Below are 16071 nucleotides of genomic sequence, written 5' to 3'. Positions count from 1 at the left end.
AGACTTTAACCAGCAGATCTTGCGGTAACTCATTACCACCGGAAGGGTACCAAGCCATTCATGAGGGCCCCCATGACACAAACACCCCCCTCCAGGCCCCACCTCCAGCACTGGGGATCACATTTCAACATGAGATTTGGAAGGGACACACATCCAAACCATATCACCAGCTCTGAAGGGTCTCCAGGAAGGCTCGGCAGAGTGTTTGACGCAGAATGAGAGGGTGGAGTTAAAGTGGGCAGATGATGAGAGAGACATCATTAGCTGTGAGCCCACGGAGGCCAGGGCCAGGTGGAGATACTGCTTGCTGCTTGTGAGGGCCTAGACTGTCCAGGCACAGAAGAAGTGCAGAGCCGTCTTGTTAATCTGGATAGAGTGAACAGAAATGACATACTCAGAGGCCTCGAGAAGATGCACAAAGCCATGAAGGGGACGTGAAGACAGGTTCTAGGGTGGCTCCCTTAATGCAAAGTGAGTGCTTGGTAAATGTTTGGTGCATGAATGTTTGTTGAATGGAGCCAAATGTTCATTCTTGCCAGTTTGGTGAAGGTCCCCTGAAGTGGTTGGAATTTGGATGATGGGAAAAGAGGCTGATCACTGTGAAAGGAAGAGGAAAGCTGAAAGTCACAGGAAAGGGTTTTGAAGCAGGAACCTGAGCTCGGTGCTGGCACCTCGGGCCACACACACCCTCCCTGCAGCTGTGCCTGCTCTGTGCTGATGGCCTGGCGCATGCTTCCGAGTTTGTATTTTCTATGGCAGCCAGCTCCCTGGGTGGGCCTATGTAGAAGGTTGGCAGCAGGTAGGGAGAGCTGAGATCCTGACCATCAGAGAGAGAAACCAGCAGCACCTGCCCCTGTCCATGTGGCCCAGGGAGAGTCTATTTGATCACCTGTGCCTGAACTGCTGAAATTCAGGTGAGATGAGGGAGGTGCTGGCTTTCGGTCCTGCCTGATTGAGCTCTGGGCAGATGCCATGCCATGATCTCACTCCAGGGGGCTGGGGACCACTGCTTACAGGCATGATGGCTTCCTGCACCCCCAGAGGCGAAATCCTTGTAGCACCCACAAAGGCAGGCAGAGCAGCTGTGTGGAAGCTTGCAGGTAGGAGCTGCCCATTCACACATTTAACACGCATTTTCTGAGTGTCCACTCTGTGCCGGGACCTTAAAGCACTGGGGTTGAGCAAACCCAGACACAGCTCCTGTCCCTGCGGCTGTTTGCACCTAGTGGGGCAGGGCTCCCTGGGGCAGTCCAGCCTCCTGGGGCTGTGGGAAGGCCTGAGTGCCTTTGAGGCTTGTCACAATGCCTGAGAGAGCCACTGGCATCGAGTGGGTGGGGGCTGGGGACCCTCCTGCCATTCACAGATAGCACCACACAGTGAAGAATTCCACCACTAGAAATGCCAGTCAGTTACACCTTCGGGGATGAAGAGTCTCCTGGGAGAGGCAAGCATTAGTTAATTAGCCACACAAATAAGTGAACAGTTACCAGCCCTGTGAATTGCTGTGAAGACAGGGCCCAGGGTGTTCAGAGGGGGAACAGCACAGCACCGTCTGGCGGGGAGGGGACATGGAGGAAGGAGGAGGGCTTCCTCGGGGAAGCCATGAGTAGCTGAACTCGGAACCACTGGGTTGAAGGGGTGGGGTGGAGGTGAGGATAAGATGAAGATTGTTCCAGGCAGAGACAATGACATCCCCTAAACCCTGGGAGGGAGGATGTGGCCCATATGAGGACTGCAGACAGCCAGGGGGATGGTGGGAGAGGAATCCGGAGAGAGAGGCCACGGCCAGGCACACAGGCCCTGAGAAGCTGCGCCGGGGTCCTGGTGTGCACCCCAGGAGTTTTCGGCACACGGGTGACCTGACCATATCTCAGATTTTTGGGAAGATCGCCCTGGAAGGATGTGGAAGACAGAGGGGAGGGCAAGTGTGGGGGCGGAGGGCCCAGCCCAAGGGCCACGGCCCTGGCACCCAGAGAGATGGCTCTTGCTTGGATGGGTGTTGGAGGAGGGCACCAGGATGAAGACAGAAGACAAAAAGGGAAGGCTGTGCAGGCCTTGACGGGGAGGTGCGACTTGGGGTGGGGCAGACCTGGGGGCAACAGAGAGAAAGGTGGGAAGATGAGTGGCGGACAGTGGTGTTATCACCACGGGCCTGGGAATGGGTGGTGAGCACAGTTTCGGGCACGGTGAACCTGGGGACCTCTGAGCCATCATGTATGTGAGGGGGCGGTGTGGAATAGACCTCTGGCCGTGCTGTCCAGGGGTCAGAGATGAGGTCAGGGCTGGAGGTACCACTGGGAGAGGCTGGTGCAGATAGCAGTAGAGGCCGCTGGAGTCGGGGGCCAGCCTAGAGAGGGGGTTCAGCAGGAGAAGACACAGCTCCCCCTATGACTTGAGGCACCTTAGTTTTAACAGCCAGGTAGAGGACTCTGGCCCAGTCAAAGAGACAGAGAACGGACAGAGGGAAGGCAGAAGGAATGGACCCATCACAGACACTGGGGACACGGTTGTTTCGAAAGTTGCTTGGGCAGCAGGGCTTAAGGCTGGTGGGACGTAGAGTACGAGGATGACAGAAATGTCTCTTGGATTTAGAAAATGGGGTTGTTGGTGACATTGGCAAGAGTCGCCTTGGAGAAGTGGGGCAGAGGCTGCTTGGCAGCGTGGGGTGAGTGGGTGGAGGAGAGGAAGTGGGGGAGGCCTGGAAACCCTTAGAAGACGCCTGTGAGGGAAGAGAGGTGAAGGAGTAGCTGGGGAGGCTGCGGGGTGGAGGGAAGACTTCGTCATTTAATTTCGGGAGGGAGAGGTTTCAGCATTCTCCTGACAGATGTGTTGTCCCTCCATTCCATCCCTTAAAAAGAAGAGCTTGTGACTGCAGGTCATTACTGCACAATAGACATCCTTGTGAAAGGACAGATGCTATTATCATCTTCGCTTTACATACGAGGCCCAAAGTGGTTATGCAACTTGCCCAAAGCCACACAGCTGCTAACTAGAGCCGGGATGAATCAGACACAGTTAACCTGAGCCTAACTCAAGGGTCCGGGTCTTAACTCTTTGACTCTTTTGCTCTGCTGCCTTTCAGTTGAGCCTGGGTCATTATCACGTGTCTGTGCCCCTGATGGACGCCAGCCTGTATGGGAAGGGTGGTCATGTTACCGCGTATCCACCAGCCCTGTGCTGGGTGTTGGAGCTCATGGCAGCCCATTTGTGGTCTCTTCCCAACTCCACAAGCGGGGATGAAACCGGCTTCAGCGGGAGTGATTATACCGCCGAAATTGGCAGCCGCTACAGATCAGAGCTATTTTTAATCCCCTCCCCAGGCCCCAGTGGAGCTGGTTGTTAGACAGTTACCAGCACACCACACGCTTGTCCATACAGAACACCAAGGTGGGCTCAGTGCAAACCCTCCACCTCTGACAAACCTTCTGCCTTGGGCGAGCCACTGAGGACCCGTGGCTCCCTTAGAGCTCCCTCACCCTGCCCTGCAGTTGGGAGAGTCTCCACCCCTCAAAGGCCACAGTGACCTGGCCTCCGATTTGCTGATCCCCGGCAGGGCGGGCGGCAGGAGGGCGGGAAGGTGGCCTGCCATGCCTGGGAGCCCTGGCTGCTGGGCTGGACGGAGTGAGACTCCCCACCTGCTGTCCCTGCCCCGGCTTCCCTCCTGTCACCCCCTTCCCTCCACATCAACGCAGCAGCAGCAAGAGGCGACGCTCCAGACCCCGACTTTCAGAGTGATCACCTCTACATGTCAAAGTGCAGCATGGTTTAAAGGAAGATGAAGGGACGTATTAAAAAGGGAAGAAGGGGCCAAGGGCTCTCTCGGGCCTCAGGGACAACCCAGGCAGGGCTGTGGGCTTCCTTCACAGAGCACCTCCGGGTGCTCGGCTTTGCCCTAGAGAAGGTGGGGCTTTCCGTCCATTTTACAGATAAGGAAACTGAGGCACAGAAAGAGGAAGTGACCTGCCCCAGAACACACATCGGTGAGGGGCGGACTCCAGAGGCTCCAGGACTCACTCTTGTGTTCCTGTAGGGCCCGGGGAGAGAGAGAGATTGACTCAGAACCAAAAGTTGTTTCCGCCCCCTGTTAGGGAGCCACATTTCCCGACTTCCAGGATGAAGAAAGGCTTTTCCTGGACTGACTGAGAGGCTGACAGGGTGGTGGACGGCTGGTGTTCTGGCATCTCGGTTTCCCAGCCGGCTCCCATGCGGCAACCGGGAGGGTTCTGTGGCTTCATTGTCATCTTCATCATCGTGGCAGGGCCTGCTTGGGCCCGTATCTGCCACCTGCCTGGTCTAGGCCAGGCACGACGTGGGTGCTGAGGCGTCTCCTCTCCACCTCCTGGGCTTGGCCGCTGTGGCTGGTGTCTGGGCCCCTTGTCCCAACCTCCAGCCTGCAGTGCCCACTCCCACGTGAAAGACTGGCTCGTACATTTCCCCATTCAGCTGATGGTGAGTGCTGCGCTATTTTAAGCCCACATGGAAGTACTTTTTTTTTTTTTTTATAAGGACCATCTGCTACCGGCCCCAGCCCAGATGATACAGTTAGAGCCTACCCACAGCATCCTCCCCGCCTTCAGACAGTTCCAGGAACAGGGGTGAGTCACGCCCAGCTGAACTCCCGTCTAGCTCACCCGAGAGCTGGACCGGGCGCCAGCAGAGGGGGCTGCGCACGCTCCGTGGAGCAGGTGCACTCTGCCACCTCCGAGAGATGGGAAGGGGACCCTCACCCTCTGTCCCAGCTGTGCCCTGCTCCCTGTGAGGGACCAAGGCCTGGGTCACAAGTTCAATAGCAGATGCTGCTTCTTGTCACAGCAGCTTGTCCCACAGCAGGCCACACAGAAGCCACCCTGTTCTGGCTGCCCCTGGAAGCACCTTGGGTCTGCCTTGGTGCAGAGAGGGTGGGTCCCCCTTGCTGGGCTGCTTGGGATGGTGTCCTGGGTGGACATGCAGCTTGGGCCACTGGGAAGATGCGATTAAACACTGACCACCCCATTTTCTTTCTGGGTGAAGCATCAGGGCCCAGGCAAGCCTCCTCCACTGTGCTCACTCCCCCTCTCTCCTCTGACCCCTTCTCTCCTCTTCCCATCTCAGCACCTAGCGGCACGCTGTGAGCAGAGGTCGTCGGGGCAGAGACCCCAGTCAGACTTTGAATCTGGGCTCTGCCCCTCATAGGTGGATAGGTGGTGGAACCCAGGGCCAGGCCTATTTAATCCTGAGCCTCCCTTTGCACATCCGTAAAATGGGGATAGTCTTAGCTGCCTCCTAGGGTATGTGAACAGGAGTGGGATGATGCATGGAAGGATCCAGCATGCCACCTGGCTGATACTTTCTCCTCACTAGGGATTCTGAAGGGCCCGCCCTTGGCATTGGCTGAAACGCGGTGGGAGTATTGAAAACGCTGGACCTGTAACTCCACAGAGAAGCGCCTCCCCACCTCAACACCAGCACTGTTCTCAATGTGTGGTGGCCTCTCCCTGCCTGAGAGCTGGTCATTTTGGCTTCAGGGAGCCGGGTGAGGCAATGCACGGCCAGCAGGTCATTTGACCTCAACAGCGCAGGCTCTGCCGGCTGCGATTCCATCACCCCTGGACTAGCAGAACCACTGCCTTTGCAGGAGTCTCAAAGGCCTGGGCTTTTGGGGGTGCTTCTCCGCCACTCCTGACTGCTTCTTTCCCTTCGGGGGCCGTGGCTGGTGCCTGCTGCGGGGTCATTGCGTGACGCGAGCACCGCAGCATCTCAGGTGCACGCGCCCTTCGATGGCCCTGAGGTGCCCGGGAGCAGGCGAGGGCCGAGTCTTAACAGCTCCACTTCCTGTCCCCGAGTCTATCTGCCACTGCTCTGTAGAGTCCTACAGTTTATCTGTGGTCAGTTTTCTTACCCATTTCCTGCCAGCTGCTACTGGTTTTTTAGTCAGCTCTGACAGCTACGGTAATTGGGAAAGGACGCAGGCTGCTGGGGCCGGGTGATTCACCAGCTCTGGCCAACAGGGACAAGGAGCACAGACGGAGGCACCCCGTCGGTCCCCCAGGGCCTGGTCCCCCAGGCTTCAATGAGTGAGACACAGAAAAGACCCAGGGGCACACTCATTGTGAACCGAAAGCTGATCTCTGTGCACGCGCGCGTGCATGTGACATAAGGGAATTTTTTTTTTTTGAATGTGCCAGAGCCAATATAAATGGTTTCATGTTTTGAGAAGTCAGAACATAACTCCAGGCTGAGTGAGGCCCCTCTCCCGGGGAGCCCCATGTTTTCTCTGAGGTGTAACTGCGGTGAGTTGTCTGTGCCTCAGATTAGGATACTGGAGTCACACTTAACATTTTATTTCATGGCATTTCCAAAAACGAAGGGAAAACCCCCATTGCAGCAAATGACTCCTCCAAATAGAAAACTTTGTGTCTGTTTTGTAAATGCTGTGGAAGGGAGTTTTGGAGCTGCCTCACTGTCAGTCATCGCCCAGCCAGGTGCCTTTGGTTGCTGAGTGTTGCACTCAGGGGTGGGCTGCTGGCTGCCGAGCAGTGCCCCTCAGAGGCGGGGGCAGGACCAGCCACACAGCCTCACCTGTCTGGGCCTCTGGAGCCAGCGCCTCCGAGTTTTACCTGACTCTCCGGGTGGCCCTGTTGCCTACTCTAGTGTGAGAAGCACCTCTCTAGACTTTACTGGAAGCTAATATTAATTTTATTGATAGCCGTGGGTTATGGAGCATGAAAATGATCCTCCAATGCAGAATGAAATGACCCACTTCACACAGATTTACTGCCTTCCTCCCAGGCACCAGGATCTGTGCTGGGCACAGCAAGGGACCACCTGGCCTCGGGAGCTAAGGGCTCTGTCTCCAGGGGTCCCAGTCTGGAGAAGGTGGGTAAAGCAAACAAGGAAGCCTCCTAATAAGAAGTTCCCTAATCAGACATGGACTTTGCTGCCAGGAGCACCCAGTGGGGCCAGCCTGGGGCCCAGGGAGGTAAGCAGAAGGGGCTCACTGTAGTAGTAGGTGAGACACAAACAGTTTCATCCATGGGTAGGAAATAGATGAGGGGGAGGGAGAGAGTTAGGAGATGGTCATGGAGATTGCGGGTGCTAAGAATGGCCTTGGTGGGTTTGGGGTCATCCCTGCTCTGACACTGTACAGCACAGTCAGCTTGAACCAGTCCCTGACCTCTCTAAGGATCAGTTTTCTCATCCATGCAATGGGTTTAATGATAGTTCCTTTTGTGATTGTTGTGATACTTCAATGAGAGAATAATGCAAAGTGCTTAGTGCAGCCCTCACTAAGCTCAGTAAGGAGGGTGACTGCATCTGAGGGCAGTGGGAGCCACTGAGGGGGTTTCAGCCGGTGAGTGACGGGAGCAGATTTTTTTTTCTTGAATAATTCCTGGAAATGCTTTGATCATTTAGGCCAGCAGAGGCTCTTGGTTGAGCATGAGACGCATGAACCATTAAGATTGCAGGATATAATCATGTGCAAATTTTAGACAATACCTGAAATCCTAAAATGCATTTCCTTTTTCCCATCGCCATAGTTTTGGATCCTAAAATCAACCAAAAGCAGAATCTGACCACTTTCCAAAGCAATGGTCCTTTAGATTGAGAACAAAATCGTGGAACAGCGCTTCATTTTTCCCGTCTCAAGAAGTCACAAGGCCCAGAATGCAAGAAAATCATGGCTTTTCGATGACCAGGCCTTGTTGGAATGGCTGAGAAGCTCCTCAGCCCCGACCAGGTGCAGTGACTGCATTCGGCTCTCACGGAGCAGGTCTGAGTGGAGCCAGGATTTGCTCTGTTCAAAGATAAAAACCACTGGAGAGGGAAGCAGCAGATCACAGGGAGCGATCTCAATCCTATAGGGGCCTGCTCCGGGGTGTTTTGCACGAGGCTCCATGTTAAATAAGCCTCCATTCGAGCGCAGCCTCAGGACGGCCATCCTTCATTCCTCTCAGTCACACACCTTCCACTTCAGGATGGCCATCCTTCATTCCTCCCAGTCATGCACCTTCCACTGCCTGGTTCTCTGAGCGCTTCCGTCTAGCGGGAGAGACGCCTTCGACCAATAATTGCACATAGGTCTGGATGATGCCCAGCCACAGTCACTCCTCTAAAAGCAAGGAACTTGCTTCTGCAGAGTCAAACGGAGCTCACGTGAGGTTCCTGGAGGCACTGAGGTTTCTTTCTAGTCTCCTGTTTTGCACAGACCTTTTTCTTACTGAGCAATTCACTATCTGCTGGCTTCGGAAGAGGTGGATTGGGTTTCAGGTGGGGGCACCAAGAAGCAGCCAGATGTCCAAATTTGGAGGCAACTCAGGCCACCCAAGTGCCTGCACAGGAAAATGTATGCAGCTGCCGTGCCACATCAAAGGCAGGTGGTCCAGGGTGATCCGGGTGCTATTCGTGGCACAGGCACCAAAGTACTGTCATCCGAAGCATCCTCTATCTCGGTTTCCTCATCTCTAAAATGGGGCTCCATCTAAGTTTTCTGGTTCTGCAAAAACTCCTGAGCAAACCACTTCACTAGCCAGGAACCTGGTATGCCTGCCATGCCTGGGGCAGGCAGGGCTTTCCAATTTCCTCCCCAAGGTTTTCTGAGAATTCATCTGACAGTGTCTGTAAATGTCCCTCCATTCTCTTTCATAGAGGAAATGCTCACATTAGAAGAAAGTCTCTTATGACCAGCACTCCCCACTTTCAAGGTAGAATTTTTCTTGGCTCCCACAGCCCTGGGCTGGCTTCTGCACAGCCTCCCAGGGTCTTTTCCTAACCCACAAGTTGGATTCTGCCACTGGTCTTGCCTAATTCCCACTAAGAGCCCCTACGGGAAGACACCAGGGCTCTTTCCATCACCTGCCTCCCCTTGCCCTTCTGAAGGGCATGTGGCAGCAGCACAGAGCAGCTTCAGGCTCCCCAGTGGGGCTGGGCTCTTCCCAAGTCTCAGAGCCTCCCTTTGCATGCCCTTTCCTCTGATTGGCTCTGCAAACTCCTCTTCATCCTTCAGAACCCAGCTCTGTGATCAGCCTCTCTGGGAGGCCTTCCTCAACCTCCTTGTTCCCCTGATGACGGATTCCCTTCATCCACAGGCTCAGAGTCAGGGTCATGGGGAACCCTGAGGCCTGTTCCTGGTCATCCTGTAGGCCAGCCAGAGTGCCTCTCTCACTTTTGGGGAGCAGAGGCACATCCTCCTTGGTCCCACTTCATGGCCAGACTCCTGTCCATTGACCTCCCCAGCAAAGAAGCCTGGAATTCCTGTTTCAGAAAACCCTGCATGAGGCAGGCTGACTGCAGGGAGGGCTGCCACAGAGCTTGGCGATGGTAGAGACACCATTTCAGGCTGAAAGTGGAGTGGAGCTGATGAGAAGGGTCTCTGGGAAGGAGGGCTCAGCACAGCCCAACTGAAGGCAATTGCGAGGGTCCCCGCTTGTGTGTACAGCAGCCAGGGTTGTTCCACGGTGGGTAGGAGGGTATGGGGAGGGGACAGTGGTCCTGGAGGCCCCAGGGAAGGGTGGGAAGCCAGCTGTCTCAAGGATCCTCCTGCCCTTGCTGCCACCTTCAGGAGGGAGCAGTGGCCGTGAGAAAGGAAATAGAGACAGGGAGGGAGAGCCTGGCAGCCTGTCCTATTCCTGCCCCAGGCGACTGGCTTGTGACATGCAGATAGCTCCCTGGGTCTGGTTTTTCCTGTTACTGAAATTGCTGCTGCATGAAATTCTCTGGGCTAGGTCAGAAGTGGCAGCTGGGGAGTGTGCCCATGTGTGTAAAATGTCTCAGCTTAAAGAAACAGGAAATTCAGGACCAACTCGAACTCTGCGGCCCACGCCTTGTTTCCTAGAAAGGAAGGGGTCCATAACACGGGAGGCTGGGGCCCCGGGGTGAGGACAGGGATGACACAGGAGGCTGGGGTCCCCCAGTGGGGCCAGGGATGATATGGGGGGCTGGGGCCCTGCAGCGAGGACGGGGATGACACGGGAGGCTGGGGTGTCCCACTGGGGTTGGGGATGAGACAGGAGGCTGGATCCCTAGTGGGGTTGGGGATGACACAGGAGGCTGGGATCCCCCAGTGTGGTTGGGGATGACATGGGAGGCTGGGACCCCCCAAGTGGGGTCGGGGCTTTGGCCCAGAGAGGAATGGGCTTCTGGCCTCTGTCCTTGCCTGGGTCCAGGGCAGTCTCCTGACCCACTGGGTCTCTTTTCCTCTCTGCTCTAATAGAATGCCGCCAAGAGCTCGTGCCTGCTGGCCTGGGAGGGTCTGGTTAGAGGAGGATGAAGCTCTGCTTGGAGAAGCTCTGGATGCTGGGTGCTGCCTGGTCTGGACTTTGTCCTGAGCAATCTTGGGGAAATGGTCCGAGTGAAGTGCAGGGCAACTCCTGGAGGGAAGACAGGTGACAGCGAGATAAGAAGGGGCAGCGGTAGCCTCGGGGTCTGGATCTGGGAGGTTCCTGGGACTGGGCAGTGGGGCAGCCATTTTCTTCATAGTCAAGTAAACCGAAGCCTTGAGAAGCCGAGTGCATGGCCCACGGTCCCAGGCTCTTTGCTGCTTGACACCTGCACCAGAATATAGGTCCCTGCACGTGGCCACCTTTCCAGTAGGTGGTTCGAGATGTCCCCACTCTGAATTCCAGGGCTGGGCACTTGGCCAGCTCCCACATCCTCCTCTCCCTTAGGGAGAAGTGCAGCGGTCTTGGGGCCACTCCACACTGGGGCGTCTGGGCTGGAAGTCACCCCAGGAAGCACCTGTGGGCCTGGCTAATCAGGGCCCGATGAAGGACACAGACTTCTAACCCCCAAGGCCCTCAGAATAACTGGGTCTGGCTTCCTGGGTCCAGCTGAACAGCTCTTGAGCTGGGGCTGTTTGGGAGATCTCTGTTTCTGTCTGCGTCTCCTAGTCTGTTCAAAGGAGCAGTGGTTTGGGTGTCCCACCAAGAAGCCGCTTTCCCACACGGGAAAGGAAGAGGTCTGGGGCAAGCAGATGGGCCTGGGTCGCTCCACTTGGCATAGGCCCATCCCTGGAGCTCTTGGGCCCAGAGAGACCTGCCTCCACCCCATCTCAGCCAGGATGTCCTGCAGAGCTCAGACCCCCGGGAGGCCCCCGTGACCTTTGACGGGAGGGAGCACCCAGGCAGATCGTGGGGAGCCCGGAACAGCTCACATGGCACAAACTCCCCCTGCACTGATTCCCCTCAGCTTGTTCCACTTTCAAAAATAGCTAATGAGGAAATTAATTTTGTCACCCAGATGTATTCAGTAAAAACATGTCAGGGAAAGACAATTAACCTCTGTGCTGATAAATCCTTCCCAAATTAATGAAGTTAACATTTGTAGATATTGAGAGATTCATTTGGGGAAAGAGGCCCTAAATTACAGCTTCCTCCAGGCTAAGAAGGGGAGGTTGAGGGTAGAAAGAAAGGAGAGAGATAGAAAGACATGGAGCAGGAGAGCAAAGACAGAAATGCACACACCTACAGGGAGCATAGTGAGGCCAGGACAGGGAGAGAGGAGAGAGGGTGGGGGCTGGCAGAGAGACACAGAGAGAAGGAGACTGAGGGAGAAGGAGCTGGGCTCAGTGGGAGCCTGGCTGGGGCCCTCCCGAGCATTTTCCATTGGTCCAGGCATTCACTTGCAGTTGACTTGCAGAAGACTCAACAACTTCAACCAGAGAAAGAAAAGAGCTGAGGTATTTTTAAGATGTAAAATTTTCGGTCCCCCCTTGGCCTGATGTCTCTCTGCCTAAGGTCTCTGGATTCCTTTCTCCCTGGGAGCCCAGGCCCTGGGAGCTGACTTGCCAGCAGAAGGGGCTGGCTGGCTGGATTGGATCTTTCTGAAAATGTTCAGCCTGGGGTCCTGTGTTTCCCTGAGAGCAGCTGAGTCCTGGCATCAGCAAGTTTAGCCTGCCACCCATGCAGGAGCCCCCTTCACTTTCTCCCCTTTCACCAAGAGCAGTCACGCCCCTGAGGCAGTATCTTACAAGAGGTGAGTCTCTGCCTGAGTTGGACCCTTTGATCCTAGGTTAAGACTGGCTTGAAAAGACAGGAAAGCTTAGGCCACGTGGACAGACAGGTCAGGGGGTGTTGGCAAGCTGACAGTGATGTGGCAGGGCCCAGGGTGGGAGGAAGGGACAGCCCAGCCCAGACTCGTGCTCTCCCAACCCTCTGCAGCCTCAGCCCCATCTGAGGAGCCCCAGCTTAGAAAGCAAGTCCTACTCTGCTCCTGGAACGGAGATGAAAAAGACAGCTTCCCAGGAGACCTCCAGTTTTGGCGATGTCAGGTTGAATGGCTGAGGGGCCTTGTGACCTCCTGAGTTCCCATCACGTCCAAGACCGGCAGGAGTCGCCTGCAGAACTTCACTGCCGTACTTCTCTCCAGAGGGTGTGATGTAGCCATCAGACCCTAGCCAAAGGGGCTGCTTTGCTCTTGTCTGTTTAAAAATTATGCTTTTAATAATCTCTCCCAAGAGTGTGACAGGCAAACAGGCCTGGAAGCAGTGATGATTTCAAATCCTGCCAAATGACCGATTCTGGGAAGTAGGGGTCAGGATGTGTGGGGGCTGGTGTTGCTGTGTGGAGCCTACCAGGAGGCCAAGAGGCCAAGAGGAGATGGGAGAAGGACCCTGAGACACATGGGCTGTGCTTCTTTCAGGAAAACCCAGGGTTGATGACAATGATCAGCAAACACGAGGGGAGGGAGGGGAAGCCTGGTGCCCAGGGCCCCAAGACATAGCTGGAGTCTGGCCTGGGCCCCATTTGGGAAAACTCAGAGGGTTGGAGGAGGTGTCTGGGGAAGAGTCAAGGGTGGGAGATGACTGAAGTCGGGGAGGCCCTGCCTGGAAAGGAGAAAGCTGCCTGCTTTGTTTCTACACTTGAAAAAATGCCAGCCAAGTTAGCCTCACAAACACTGTGGGCACAGACGGAAGAAAACAAGATATTAGGTATCTGGAGCTGGATTTTTCCGATGACCGGGTGCTTACTAATCTAATCTTCCCAGGCAGAGTGACGAGCTTGCAGATTGCAGAGAGTGATAGATGTTACCTATCTTGAGTTCAGTTGGGCCGTTGCTCTTCGCTGCGTGACAAACCTCCCCCACCCCCAAACCAGGAGCTAAAGGGAACATTAGTCCTGTTCTCTGGATGACAAGGCGGAGGACCTGGGCCTCCACGGGCCATCACATATAGCAGGGGCTCAGAGTGATGTCTTGGGGGCCCAGGCCTGTGTGATGGTGTCATGATCTCCAGGAATGGAGAACAGATGATGTGTGATGTTTTGCAGAGGACATCCAATGTGGGTGGGAAGGGGTCTGCCCAGGGAGGAAGGATCTGGACTCACGGGGCTGAGGTGAGGGGGGTCAAGTGCCCTGCAGGGCCAGAGGCACTGGCCGGAGGGGCTTGCCCAGGTCCTGGCTGGTTTGGGCCTGTTCGTCTCATACCTTCCCCAGGCCTGGCACTGGGCTAGGATGTGGATCTTATTCTGTCTCTCCGAGGCAGCAGTGGGGCGGGTACTGCTGGGTGAGCCCAAGCCCGGGGCTGCCGCCGACTTCAACACTGAGCTCTCAGCCTCCCACGTGCCTCCCGCCCCCTGGGCCGCTTCCCCCAGAGATGAGTAAAGGACTGAAAAATTAGAACCAGGAGGGAAGTTTGGGGGAAGGTGAGGCTGCAGGCTGGTGGTGAAGTCTGCAAGCACAGGAGGATTACGGCTTTTTACACGAAGGGTGTTGGGTGGGTGGTTCTCTCTCCTCTGCTCTGGACAGAACACAGGAAGCTGGCTTGGATGGCAGCACCGAGCCTTCGAGCTGGGGTAGGGAAGAGATCTTGCCAGCAAGGGGCAGATATGCAAATGAGTTACTAGTAAACCTCCGTGTGTGGAAGTCTCAGAGATGGGCTGGTGATGCCTGGTAGCCGTGACCACCTGCAGCAGAGTTCCAGGATTTCTGCAGGGACCACTGTGGGAGCCCCCCGGGCTGCGTGAGAATCCCCACCAGTCACTGAGTCAGTCCAAACCTTGGTGTCCCTATCTGTGTATTGACACAAACGTTTCTGCTCATGAGACTGCTGTGAGGATTGGAGAGATACTGTGTGTTTTCAGATCGAAAGTACCACACACGTGCGACCCTCAATGCACACACGTGCACACGCATGGACCCTGGCAGATGCGCTGGGTCCAGATGAATCATGGAATGTGCTGGGGTGTGCTCTGCTCCCCTCCTCAGCCCCCTTCCTCTCCCTGGACTTTCTCGAGTCAGAGCAGAGATCCTCTGGGGCTGAGTTCAGTTGCATGGAGCCAGGGGAGCCACAAGGGCCTGGCGCTCTACGCCTCCCTCCTGGGCTTTCTCCCCCAGGCCTGGGAGCGGAGGAGACATGGAAGCAGCTGGGTGGATCCAGCCAGAGGTGAGAGTATAACCAGCAAAGCAGCATTTGCAGGCTGAGATCTCCTCCCCCTGCTGCAACTTACTGGGAGCGGGGCCTGTTGCACAACCAGGCCTGCCTGGACGTTCACCAGGAGCTTACCCAGAGGGTGGCTGGGGGCCCAGGACCTTTCTGGCTGCAGTGGCTCCAGGCCTGGGCCACCCCTCACCCGCTCAGCCTGGACCTAGGCCCTGCTGGCTTGGCCCCATCTCGGGACTGGCCTGGGCTGGGGTGGGGCTGTCCTCTGGCTCCTGTCTTTGCTGACCCTGCAGGCCAGCCCTTGCAGCTGTAAGGGGTTAATTAACAGTCACGCCGGGCAGAAGGGTGGTAACCAAAGGGGAAAAAGTGGGGAAGTGACAAAAGTTGAAGAAATCTCACAGGGCCCTCACAGCTGGGGGCTCTAGTTCCTGATTCTCTTGCTGAGACGGTGCCTGACGGCAGCCCTTGGCCTCTGCCTCCCCTTCCACCCCCGCCAGTGAGGGTGCAGGTTCCCCTCCCGACACATCCCCCCAAGCACCCCTGACTCAGCTCCTTCCACAGCCTGCAGATCCCGCAGCGGGTGGCTGTGGGGCTGGGAGTCTGGTCAGGGGTCAATTGCATTTCCTCGCTGGTCTGCCCTGGATGCTTCCTACTCAGAGGCCGAACATCTGAGTCTCAGGGAGGTCAAGTGACCAGCGGTGTGCCTGAGCTCATGGCCAGTGGTGTGGCTGGGATCCAACCCCCGCCTGCAGTGGGGCTATGCCGCCGAGTTCCTTACTCCTGAACTCTGCAGAGGGGTCTGGGGAATGGGCGAGAGGGTCCACAGCCAGGAAGGCTGTCATGCACGCAGTGGAGCTTTAGTGCGCCCTGTCCTGTCCGGGGTGGGAACCGGTGAAGGACTTAACCTGACAAGGGACAGAAGTGCCTCCCCACGAGAACTCGTCCCTTTGAGCAGCCACTCATGGACCCAACAGGATAGGAAGCACCTGCAGCCCTCTCTGCAGGGAAGAAGCCCTGACTCTGGGGAAGAAGGCCTCCCTTGGGTCTTCTCTTGGGTCCTCTTGCTGAGATTTGGACCCAGGGCTCATGCCCATTAGCCTGGGAGTGTCTCTCCTGGTCCTCCTGCGTGTCCTGTCCTGACAGAGCGGACATGCATTTCTCCAGTGTGACCACATCGGGGCTGAGTTTAAAAAGCCAAGTCCCATTTCTAGCTGGTAGTGTTGAGAAGGAAGCCACATGGGGTGGTGAGGAGGTGGGTGGAAGAGGGGGGCCTGGCTCCTGTGGGAGGACTGCTGTCCCACTGTCCACCTCCCCTCCAGGTCAGCCCTGGGTCTCCCTCCTCATCCTCCTGAGCATTCTCTCCATGAATAAGGGAGGTGATTCCAAGAGGCCCGTAGCGGGTCCTGGGGCAGAGGCTTCGAGTTTAATTTTATCGTGAATACATTTGGTATCGTAATGAGAAAGCACAGTAATAATGATGATGGTAACAAAGTCATTCATTCAACATCGACTGCATGCCACAGCACACCCTAAGCTTGGACGCTCTGATATAATCCTTCCCACAAATTTAACATCCCTAGTACTGATGAAGACGTTGGGATACAGAGAAACGTGCTGAGTTTCCACGGCTGGAGAAAGGCAGAGCTGGATTTAAACCTGGGGCCTGGAGCCCCATGCTCGCCCTTTCTCTATGTGGCTCCTTAAACCTGTAGGTGATC

General features: G+C 56.0%; 12 annotated features.

Annotated features, from left to right (window-relative positions):
• Positions 4460 to 4519: an enhancer, noted in NCBI's record as "active region_15269". NCBI's record gives its function as "activates an Ori minimal core promoter by ATAC-STARR-seq in GM12878 lymphoblastoid cells {active_cell/tissue: GM12878}" and the evidence as "EXISTENCE:reporter gene assay evidence [ECO:0000049][PMID:35858748]".
• Positions 4460 to 4784: a biological region, named in NCBI's record as "Sharpr-MPRA regulatory region 11674".
• Positions 4490 to 4784: an enhancer, noted in NCBI's record as "tiled region #11674; K562 Activating DNase unmatched - State 8:EnhW". NCBI's record gives its function as "activates a minimal TATA promoter and a strong SV40 promoter by Sharpr-MPRA in K562 cells {active_cell/tissue: K562}" and the evidence as "EXISTENCE:reporter gene assay evidence [ECO:0000049][PMID:27701403]".
• Positions 4490 to 4784: a silencer, noted in NCBI's record as "tiled region #11674; HepG2 Repressive DNase matched - State 20:ReprD". NCBI's record gives its function as "weakly represses a minimal TATA promoter and a strong SV40 promoter by Sharpr-MPRA in HepG2 cells {active_cell/tissue: HepG2}" and the evidence as "EXISTENCE:reporter gene assay evidence [ECO:0000049][PMID:27701403]".
• Positions 4850 to 4929: an enhancer, noted in NCBI's record as "active region_15268". NCBI's record gives its function as "activates an Ori minimal core promoter by ATAC-STARR-seq in GM12878 lymphoblastoid cells {active_cell/tissue: GM12878}" and the evidence as "EXISTENCE:reporter gene assay evidence [ECO:0000049][PMID:35858748]".
• Positions 5012 to 5518: an enhancer, noted in NCBI's record as "H3K27ac-H3K4me1 hESC enhancer chr2:8684355-8684861 (GRCh37/hg19 assembly coordinates)". NCBI's record gives its function as "activates a minimal SCP1, AML or CMV promoter by ChIP-STARR-seq in naive H9 embryonic stem cells {active_cell/tissue: H9 hESC(naive)}" and the evidence as "EXISTENCE:reporter gene assay evidence [ECO:0000049][PMID:30033119]".
• Positions 5290 to 5349: an enhancer, noted in NCBI's record as "active region_15267". NCBI's record gives its function as "activates an Ori minimal core promoter by ATAC-STARR-seq in GM12878 lymphoblastoid cells {active_cell/tissue: GM12878}" and the evidence as "EXISTENCE:reporter gene assay evidence [ECO:0000049][PMID:35858748]".
• Positions 5519 to 6025: an enhancer, noted in NCBI's record as "H3K27ac-H3K4me1 hESC enhancer chr2:8683848-8684354 (GRCh37/hg19 assembly coordinates)". NCBI's record gives its function as "activates a minimal SCP1, AML or CMV promoter by ChIP-STARR-seq in naive H9 embryonic stem cells {active_cell/tissue: H9 hESC(naive)}" and the evidence as "EXISTENCE:reporter gene assay evidence [ECO:0000049][PMID:30033119]".
• Positions 6000 to 6289: an enhancer, noted in NCBI's record as "active region_15266". NCBI's record gives its function as "activates an Ori minimal core promoter by ATAC-STARR-seq in GM12878 lymphoblastoid cells {active_cell/tissue: GM12878}" and the evidence as "EXISTENCE:reporter gene assay evidence [ECO:0000049][PMID:35858748]".
• Positions 6300 to 6349: an enhancer, noted in NCBI's record as "active region_15265". NCBI's record gives its function as "activates an Ori minimal core promoter by ATAC-STARR-seq in GM12878 lymphoblastoid cells {active_cell/tissue: GM12878}" and the evidence as "EXISTENCE:reporter gene assay evidence [ECO:0000049][PMID:35858748]".
• Positions 11875 to 14067: a transcriptional cis regulatory region, noted in NCBI's record as "candidate enhancer chr2.185 targeted for multiplex CRISPR interference". NCBI's record gives its function as "positively regulates expression of the ID2 gene with high confidence and the MBOAT2 gene with lower confidence in K562 cells {active_cell/tissue: K562}" and the evidence as "EXISTENCE:mutant phenotype evidence [ECO:0000015][PMID:30612741]".
• Positions 14090 to 15092: a transcriptional cis regulatory region, noted in NCBI's record as "candidate enhancer chr2.184 targeted for multiplex CRISPR interference". NCBI's record gives its function as "positively regulates ID2 gene expression with high confidence in K562 cells {active_cell/tissue: K562}" and the evidence as "EXISTENCE:mutant phenotype evidence [ECO:0000015][PMID:30612741]".

This window comes from Homo sapiens, chromosome 2, assembly GCF_000001405.40.
Source record: "Homo sapiens chromosome 2, GRCh38.p14 Primary Assembly".
Taxonomy (NCBI): Eukaryota; Metazoa; Chordata; class Mammalia; order Primates; family Hominidae; genus Homo; species Homo sapiens.
The sequence above is the reverse complement of the archived record's forward strand: the minus strand, read 5'-3'. Positions and strand labels throughout refer to the sequence as shown.